The 9,882-nt window shown below is 43.1% G+C and overlaps 1 annotated feature.

The window, feature by feature from the left end:
* Window positions 3,578-4,777: an enhancer, noted in NCBI's record as "P300/CBP strongly-dependent group 1 enhancer chr20:18232893-18234092 (GRCh37/hg19 assembly coordinates)". NCBI's record gives its function as "activates an origin of replication core promoter dependent on BRD2, BRD4, P300/CBP, MED14 and CDK7 cofactors, with strong dependence on P300/CBP, by STARR-seq in HCT116 cells {active_cell/tissue: HCT116}" and the evidence as "EXISTENCE:reporter gene assay evidence [ECO:0000049][PMID:35650434]".

Below are 9,882 nucleotides of genomic sequence, written 5' to 3' on the forward strand. Positions count from 1 at the left end.
CAACCCAAATGTCCATCAATAATAGACTGGATTAAGAAAATGTGGCACATATACACCATGGAATACTATGCATCCATGAAAAAGGATGAGTTCATGTCCATTGTAGGGACATGGATGAAGCTGGAAACCATCATTCTTAGCAAAGTATTGCAAGGACAGAAAATCAAACACCATATGTTCTCACTCATAGGTGGGAATTGAACAATGAGAACGCTGGACACAGGAAGGGGAACATCACACCCGGGGGCCTGTCGTGGGGTGGGGGGAGGGGGGAGGATAGCATTAGGAGATATACCTAATGTAAATGACAAGTTAATGGGTGCAGCACACCAACATGGCACATGTATACATATGTGACAAACCTGCACGTTATGCACATGTACCCTAGAACTTAAAGTATAATTTAAAAAAATCCTCTGTGCTCCACGTATTTATTCTTCTCCTCCCAACCCCTGGCAACTACTGATCATTTTACTGCTGCCTTTTCCAGAATGTCACATAGTTGGAATCATATAGTGTATAGCTTTTTCAGATTGATTTCCTTCACTTAGTCATAGGCATTTAAGTTTCCTCCACGTCTGTTCATGGCTTGCTAGCTCATTTCTTTTTAGCACTGAATAATATTTCATTGTCTGGATGAACTACAGTTGATTTATCCATTCACCTACTGAAGGACGTCTTGGTTGGTTCCCAGTTTTGGCAGTTATGAACAAAGCCACTATAAAATCTGTGTGCAGGTTTTTGTGTGTACGTAAGTTTTCAACTCCTTTGAGTAAATACCAAAGAGCACGACTGCTGGATAAAATGGTAAGAATATTTTTAATTTTGTAAGAAACTGCCAAACTGTCTTCCAAAGTGGCTGTATCATTTTGCATTCCCACAAAAATTCATTTGTGTTGTAACGAATGAGAGTTCCTGTCACTCCACAACTTCATCAACATTTGGTGTTGTCAGAGTTCTGGATTTTGTGGATTTGGGTCATTTAATAGGTGTATAGTGGTATCCCACCACTGTTTTAATCACATTTCTCTAATGATGTATGATGTCCTCTGTTGATGGACATTTGGGTTGTTCCCAGTTTGAGGATGGTACAAAAAGAAATGCTGAAAACATTCCTGCAGGTATTTTTGGTGGTCCTATGCACTCATTTTGCTTCAGTATACACATAGAAGTGTGAAACTGCTGTATCCAAAGATATGGATGTGTTCAGCTTTATGAAACTGTGCCAATTGGGTTTCCAAGGTAGTTGTACCAGTTTCCACTTATGCCTGGAGTTAGTCATATTTAAAAACTAGAAACATTTCTTTCATATTGAAATAACTCTGGGATTTGCATAATTCAAAGGAGGCCTGGTACGGCTTGTAACAATCTGAACCATGCTCCTTTTCAACAGAGAATTGTAAAATGGTATTAAAGGAGTATAATTTGTTCCCCTTGCTAATAGTAAAAGAGAAATGATTCACACAAAGACACAGAGAATAATGGAAGCCAGCATTCTTGAATCTGTCTTCCCTGTATTAAACTATTACCTAATTAACAGCATGCTGGGGTCGTACATTGGATTCTGGAGCCAACCTCCAGGGTGCACTGGAGTCTATTTGAGGATGGAGGGTGGGAGAAGGGAGAAGAGCAGAAAACATAACTATTGGGTACTGGGTTTAATACCTGAGTGATGAAATCTTCTGTCCAAGAAACCCCCATGACATGGGTTTACCTATGTAACAAACCTTCACATGGACCTTTGAACCTAAAATAAAGGGCCTTTATTACAAGGCCTTTATCACAAGGACCTTTGAACCTAAAAAAAAGTTTTTTTTTTTAAAGAAAAAACATTCTGCTAAAAATGTACAAATGTATGATACAATTGAATATTTGAATACAACTGAATATATTAAATAAGACATTTTGGCCAGGCACGGTGGCTCGCACCTGTAATCCCAGAACTTTGGGAGGCCAAGGTGGGCGGATCACTTGAGATTAGGAGTTCGAGACCAACCCATGCAACATGGTGATACTCTGTCTCTTTAAAAAAAAAAAAAAAAAAAAGAAAGAAATTTTTATTAATTTTCATATGTAAAAAGAGTAGGGTGGTCAGGCACGGTGGCTCACGCCTGTAATCCCAGCACTTTGGGAGGCTAAGGCAGCGGATCACAAGGTCAAGAAATCGAGATCATCCTGGCCAACATGGTGAAACCTCATCTCTACTAAAAATACAAAAATTAGCCGGGCGTGGTGGCATGCACCTGTAGTCCCAGCTACTCGGGAGGCTGAGACAGGAAAATTGCTTGAACCCAGGAGGCAGAGGTTGCAGTGAGCCGAGATAGGACCACTGCACTCTGAGCTGGCGACAGAGTGAGACTGCGTCTCAAGAAAAGAAAGAAAAAGAGTAGGGTAATTGTGATAAAAATAATTGTATCTTTTGGAGATACATGTCTAAATATCTAGAAGTGAAATGATACAATGTCTGGGATTTGCTTCAGTTCTATGGGTGGAGGGGGATGTCACTGAGTGGGATGTGGGGGGCAGGACCAGTCACCACTGATGGCAATTGAGGCTGGGCGATGGGTACTGTGGATTCACTCAACTCTGAACCATTTCTGTGTATCTTCAAAACTTTCCATGGTAAAGTTATTTTTAAAAGCTACTCTTAAAAAAAGATATAAAAAATCATGTAATCTATTTTAGAAAAATTTCCATCAAAATTGCTAAAATAAAATATGGCAATTGAGGAAGGAAAAAAGTAAGAAAAAAATGCAGGAAATATAGTAACATATTTTACAATAATGTCAATCCAAAATATTATTTAAGAAGATTTTGCTACATGACACGAGTAGGGAGTGATATTGTCAATTATCTGAAGTTGCCCATCTAGAAGTTATCAATAAGCTTATTTATCCATCATGAATTTGCTGGTAACCCACTGGGGGCAGGGCATCAGGAACCCCAGCCCGGGCAGGGAGACCTAGGCAGTGTCCTCATCGGCCTCCCCGCCTATGCCAGTGACCATACCACCAAGTCTCTCTGCGTCTGTTTTCTGCTCTGAACAGTGGAGCTCATGATGGCATTAGAGCAACACCCATTTTACTGTGTTGTGAGGAGTAAAGATCATAATGGACATAGGTGCTCTTGATTCATTTGGGAAAAAAGAGGGGCATGGGGCAGGGATTTGCTTGTGGAATAGTGCTCTGAGGGCAGGGAAAGCAGGTAGCTATTTTTATGGGAACCACACACAACCCTAATACTGTAGGAGTTGAAAGAACAAGCTTTTAGGATGGCTCCCAGCACTGCCCCTTGGGAGCTGTCTGCCTTGGGCACTCTTTGCCATAGGCGCTGTCTGTCGGTGCCCCAACGACGTCTTCATCCTGGAATTCAATCAGACCTCAAAGCCCCGTGGTGATAATCAAAAGTATCAATATGTGGCAAAGGTGTAGAAGAGTGATTGGCTTGTAGGAAGCACTTAAGGCAGGTGCACAATCAACTTTGTGATTACTACTAATATAATAAAGCAGCAGGTTGTTTACTCTGATGTCCCGTGGACCCCTTAAGTATTTCTGGAGCCAGGCCTATGTCTGCAAAATGATGAGTTCCTGCCCCAGAGAGCTACAGCATCTTTCTGTAAAACCATAATTGATTCAGACTGCACCTAACTAACCTAGCCAGAAAGTTGGAATTTCAAGATGACCAACTAGACCTTTAATAGTTCAGTGCTTTTATAGTTCATGTCCAGGGTCACATGTCACTGGGAAACAAACCTCCATCCTTCTGTCCTGTGAAATGGGTACTCATCCTCAAGGTGGTAGAAAGGAGAGGCTGCTTTCCACTCTGTTGATGTTGTTAAGTCCTTGCTTAAAGGGTAAGACTGGGAGGTCCCAGGAAGGCAGCCTGAACAATTTCTCTTCTCTCTGGGTTTGCCACAGACACTTCAGTGCCTGCCTTCCTGACAGTGGGATACGCCGGGTGATTCACCAGGTTCAGTCTGGGAGGAGGCGTGGAGGATCCTGCCTATCTTCTCAGACACGCAAAGTCCCAGGTTTTGTTTTCCGAGTCTTGGCGTCCCCAGCCAAAGTTCCTGGGTACTGGCTGCCACCCATGGGAGAGGGGAACACCCACCAGCTCCACCCCATAGGACATTGCTAGGGCCTTAGTCACCTAGAAAAGCCCTCCACGTATTTGCCTGGTTAATGCAACAATAGAAGGGTTACGCCCCAGCAACTTTGGTCTCCTCACTCGGTCACCTCAAGAAAGCCTCATCAAACCTTTGCCATGAAAGCACAATGCCAGAAACGCGGCTGCGTGCCTGGCTTAGCCATACTTGGGCTGCTCTTCATTCAAAAAGGCCTCTGGCAGCCTCTCCTGAAATCATTTGGGCTCGAGATGTCATTCCCTGGTCACACCTAGATTCTTAACTGATTTGTTAAGATTTATGAAGAAAGGCTCCATTCTCTTATTCACTTGGCAAATACTTTTTGGCTCCTGTTCAGAGGTGATTGCAAGAAGCACACGGAGAAGTCAGATGTGGTCTCCGGAGCTGTTCTGGCAGTTTTCACAAGGCCCAGGGGCAGGGTAGAGGTGCATGAGGCCGGGGTGAGTTCTTGGCCTGAAGATCTGAAGACATAGACAAGTTGAGGTACTGCTAACATCCCCTAGGGAGTCCCAGACTTTTGTGCCACCTGGGGTCAGGCAACAGGGAGTGGTAGGGCCTGCGGTAAACCAGAGAATGCACGGGCTTTCTAGAGAGCAGCCGCCCTCCCGAGTAGCTGACTGCTGCCTTGTGGAAATAAGTGCCCAGCTGAGCCAGATCTCTTGTTTTGTCAAGAGAAGCCAGGAATTTGGAGTTATTGTGAAATTTACGGTATTTCATGTTAACAACTAATTTTTTAAAAATTATATATACACATGGAAAGATGCTCAACATTGGTAATCATTAGGGAAAAACACACCAAAACTACAATGAAATACCACCTCACATCCATTAGGATGGCCATTATTTTTTTAAAAAAGAAAATAAGAAATGTTGGTGAGAATGTGGAAAAGTTGAAATCCTTGTGCCCTGTCAGTAGGAATGTAAAACGGTATAGCCACTGTGAAAAACAGTATGGCAGTTCTGCAAAAAATTAAAAATAGAACTACCATATGATCCAGCATTTCCACTTCTGGGTATACTTCCAAAAGAACTGAAAGCAGGGATACTAACAGATATTTATACACCTCTGTTTGTAGCAGCGTTATTCATAATAGCCAAACTGTACCAGGAACCCAAGTGTCCATCAGTAGGTGAATGGATTAGCAAAATGTGATATACGTGAGTGTATACAATGAGACATTATTTAGCCTTAAAAAGGAAGGAAATTCTGACAGTGTTACAACGTGGATGGGTCTTGAAGACATCATGCTAAGTGATGTAAGCCAGTCACAAGAAGACAAATGCTGCATGATTCCGCTTCTATGAGGTACCCAGAATTGTCAAAGTCACAGAGACAGAAAATAGAATGGTGGGTTGCCAGGAGCTGGGAGAGAAGAGAATGGAGAATTAGCATTTAATGGATATAGTTTCTGTTTTGCAAGATAAAAAGAGCTCTGGAGATGGTTGTACAACATTATGAATGTATTTAATGCCACTCAACTATACACTCAAAATGGATAAAATGGTGAATTCTATGTTATGTGTATTTTACCACAATAAAAAAAAATGGGAACAAAATTGTAAGTACAGCACAATTCAAACAAAATTTGTCTTTGGGTCCTGTGGGGCCCGAGGCTGCTAGCTTGTCCTTCTGCCCTACTGGTCTTCTGCGAGAGCCCATGGCCGTTCCACATTCTGGCCTAACTCCACTCTGCGTAGTCTTGGGAGCTGGACACACCTAGGTTTGAATCCTGGCTCTGCTCCTTAGTAGTCATGAGATGCTGAATTCTTCTCTACCAATGGGTCTGGGATTATAAAAGCTTTGTCTCTGAGAATATTTGTTTCCTACCAGAAGGCTCTGAAGGAAACAAATCTACTAGATTCACGACCTGGACAGAGCATCCATTGCCAATGTGAATAAACTCTGTGTGAAACTAAAGCAGAGCTCAGCTCCTGGCTGTGAGGACGAGTTCCCAGCACACTGATTTGAAGTGGTACTTCAGAACTATAAACTCTCTTTGACCTCATGCTTAACATTTTAAGAAGAGGGCAGCAAAATCGCCAAGGTATGCTGAGAGCAAGTGTTCATGTGCACCCAGCCAAACATTGTGAAGAAAAGGAGTAGGGAGAGGACATATTCACAAAACAATTTTTTTTTTTAAGAGACAGAGTCTTACTCTGTCACCAGGCTGGAGTGTGATGGTGCAATCATGGCTCACTGCAGCCTCAAATTCCTGGGCTCCAGCAATCCTCCCACCTCAGCCTCCCGAGTAGCTAAGACTATAGGCGTGTGCTACCATGCCTGGCTAATTTTAAAATATATACAGATTATAGAGGTAGGGTCTCACTATGTTGCTCAGGCTGGTCTTGAACTCCTGGCCTGAAGTAATCCTCCTGCCTTGGCCTCCCAAAGTGTTGGGATTTAAGGTGTGAGCAAACACGCCCAGCCATTTTTTAAATAATGTAATTTCCCCCACAATTTCCCTGTAGAGTTTGAAATTTTTGTTGACTGTTTTGTCTGAGGGATTCCAATGGACTTGCTTTTTCTTATGGTATAAAATGTAGCAAAAGTAAATTAGAATTTTTGAGTTATATTCTTAAAATTTGCCACCTTTCCTTGGACAGGTACTAGAGATTTGAAAACAAATAAACTGTGCCAGGCCCCTGTCTGCAAGGAGCCGACATTGTAGAGGAGAAGACAGAGTGTGCTTAAGCGTAGTTTGCTAACTTCTGAGTGTGAAAATTGATTATACAAATTGGGTCATTCTTGTCATACCCAACAAAAACAGAGTTGAGAAGCCAGAAGGGAAAAGCACTTGCGGCATATAGCATTGCTCCAAAAATTTAATTCTCTCCAAGTCCAGCAGCTAAAGCTGCCTGTGGTAACCTAAGACCAGCTTTACCCAATAGCTGCTGAAACAAGACCAGCCTTGGACCAGCTTTACCCAATAGCTGCTACAGCTCAAAGACTAATTTTACCCAGGCCTGTGGCTCACCAACTGGAGCTTTCCAGCTCCCCACAACTTTACTAATACCCATGAACTTTCTTTCAAGACCACAGGCAACATTTCTTTTTAAAAATAAAACCCCCAACTTTCTCTTTGTTCTTCAGACACACCAAAGAGTACCTAGTCTATGTGTACGCCCCAAATTGCAATTCTTGTATCCCAAATAAAACGTTAAATTTAGAGACTCATCTCTACATTTTTATTAGACTATGGCATGGACAAGAGGGTGCAACAAGAGTACCCTGCTGGGCACAGTGGCTCATGCCTGTAATCCCAGCACTTTGGGAGGCTGAGGCAGTTGGATCACCTGAGGTCAGGAGTTCAAGATCTGCTTAGCCAACATGGTGAAACCCTGTCTCTACTAAAAATACAAAAATTAGCTGGGTGTGGTGGCACACACCTGTAATCCCAGCTACTCAGGAGGCTGAGGCAGGAGAATCACTTGAACCCAAGAGACGGAGTTTGCAGCCGAGATAGTGCCACTACACTCTAGCCTGGGAGACAGAGTGAGACTCCGTCTCAAAAAAAAGAAGAAAAAAAAGGCACTAAGAGTACCTAGGATAGGTAAGCAACTCAGCTAGATAGGAGAGGCCAGGGAAGTGGCCTGCTGGAGAGGAGATCAGAGTTGAAAAATAAGGCTGACCAGGAGTTAGCCAGAGTAAGTGGGAGTGGGGAGATGGAGGAGCCCACAGAGGTGGAGCTCACCTGTTTGCCTGTGATGTAAGGCCTAGAATTTCGTTCAATATTAAGTGCTGCTTTGACATCTGGTCAAACTGAGAGAGCCTAGAATGCTCTAACCACAAATTCCCCTCCCTTCTGCTCTCTTGGATAAGATCCCCTAGCCAAACACGGTGCAGTTCCTGCTTATCTCTGAGCAGTGGGTGTCAGTCAGTTCCCTGTCAGCCTGAGAAATTATTCAAACAAGCCCATCATATTCTGCTGCAGGAATCAGGAATCACCCTACCCTTTTGATAGCACAAAGCCTGACTCCAGACCCTGGCTATTCACTCTGTTCCCAAGTGTAGCCCCTGTGGCCCTGCGTGCTATGCTGTGTTCTGATCCAGAATGTGAGTTATAAACTGCCGTCATCTCATCTGTCCAGTGTGAGGTGTCCTGTGTTTGGCCATCCCCATAACCCTGGAACAGGAATCCCTTTCTCACCAGCAGGATGAATAGCAGGTGATTAAAACAATCCCTGTAAGGGGTCTGTGTGCAAAGCCATCAATCAGCATTGCTCAAGGATCCCCTGAGGTTGGGAGCAACAGGATGGCTGCTAAGGAAGTGGTCAGAGACCAGCCCCGGAAAGTTTTAGTCCCTTTTAACCAGCCATTGCAGATCATAGTGGCGGGAGCCCCTGGGGGGTGTCGAGCAGGGGTTAGCCCCCTGGCCAGATCTGAGTTGTTGTTTTATTTTATTTTATTTATTTATTTGTTTATTTTACTTTAAGTTCTAGGGTACATGTGCACAACGTGCAGGTTTGTTACATATGTATACATGTGCCATGTTGGTGTGCTGCACCCATTAACTCGTCATTTACATTAGGTATATCTCCTAATGCTATCCCTCCCCACTCTCCAGATCTGAGTTTTAAATAGATGGTTCTGGCCAGTGTGTGGGCTGGGTTTGAAGGGGATGAGACTAAAAGGAGCAAGTCTGATTAGGGAGTCACTGCAGGTGCCCAGGTAAGAGACGATAGGACCTCAACTAGGACCAGAAATGGAGGGGTAGAGAGAGAAGGTGAGCCTTGGAAGGTGTTTATAATGCAGAAAATATAATTGGGTTGGCCCCACTTCTTCAAAAGACAGCAAATATGTGTTGAATACACTAGTGCATGCATGAATATTAATTGAGATTTTATTGGGCCTAGGAGAACTGCAGGGTAAGGTTGGGCAGGGTGGGCACTTCCCAAAGGCGCCAGTCATGGGGGTGAGGGCTGTAGGGTCCGCTCTGCACTCTGCTCACCAAGTGCAATACAGAGGTTTGCAGAGGGCAACATGGAGACCTAAGACAAAGATATAGCCCCCCAGGTGCTGACCGATTCGTAGACGTGAACTATGGCTATGACTGCATGCTAAATTGCTGATTCCGGCTAGGTGGGCAGAAGAGTTCTGAATAGGCTGATGCCATTTCTCTCCATGTTCTCCTGTAAGATAAGAGCTGGGCTTCTTGAACCAAAAAAGTTTTACTTTTTTCCTGGGGGTAGAATTAACCTTCAACCTGTTGACTCAAGTGTGTATTAACCAATAATCTAAATTAAAAACTTTAAAAAGTCAAGGCCGGTTATCAAGGTCCTCTGAAGTGTGATTTCAAGAGAAAATTTAGAAATATGAGAAACTCAATGTATTAAACACCAAAGGGCTTTATGTCAGTGGTTCTCAATCTTGGATGTGCATTAAAACATCTGGGGGCCCTTTTAAAATACTTAAACCTGAGCTGCATGCCCCGCGCTTTTGATTCAGTTTGAGAGGGGCAGAGCTCGGGGATCTGTATTTACGTTATCATTCTCGGAACAGCTCTAGAGGGCACTGTCTGCCAGATGTTAGCTCACGCCCTGGCAGAAAACGCCATCGTGAGAACAGCAGGCACCATTTTTCTGGACTTTTAAAATCATTAGCTTTCAGGCAAATACTGAGTAATCTCATTCACATGTAGAATCTATTTTTTAGCTTTTTAATTAAATTTTTTCCTTTTTAAAAAATTTATTTTATTAAAAATATTAGTTTATACAAAAAATTTAAAATTTCCTTTTTT

This window comes from Homo sapiens, chromosome 20 (assembly GCF_000001405.40).
Source record: "Homo sapiens chromosome 20, GRCh38.p14 Primary Assembly".
NCBI lineage: Eukaryota > Metazoa > Chordata > Mammalia > Primates > Hominidae > Homo > Homo sapiens.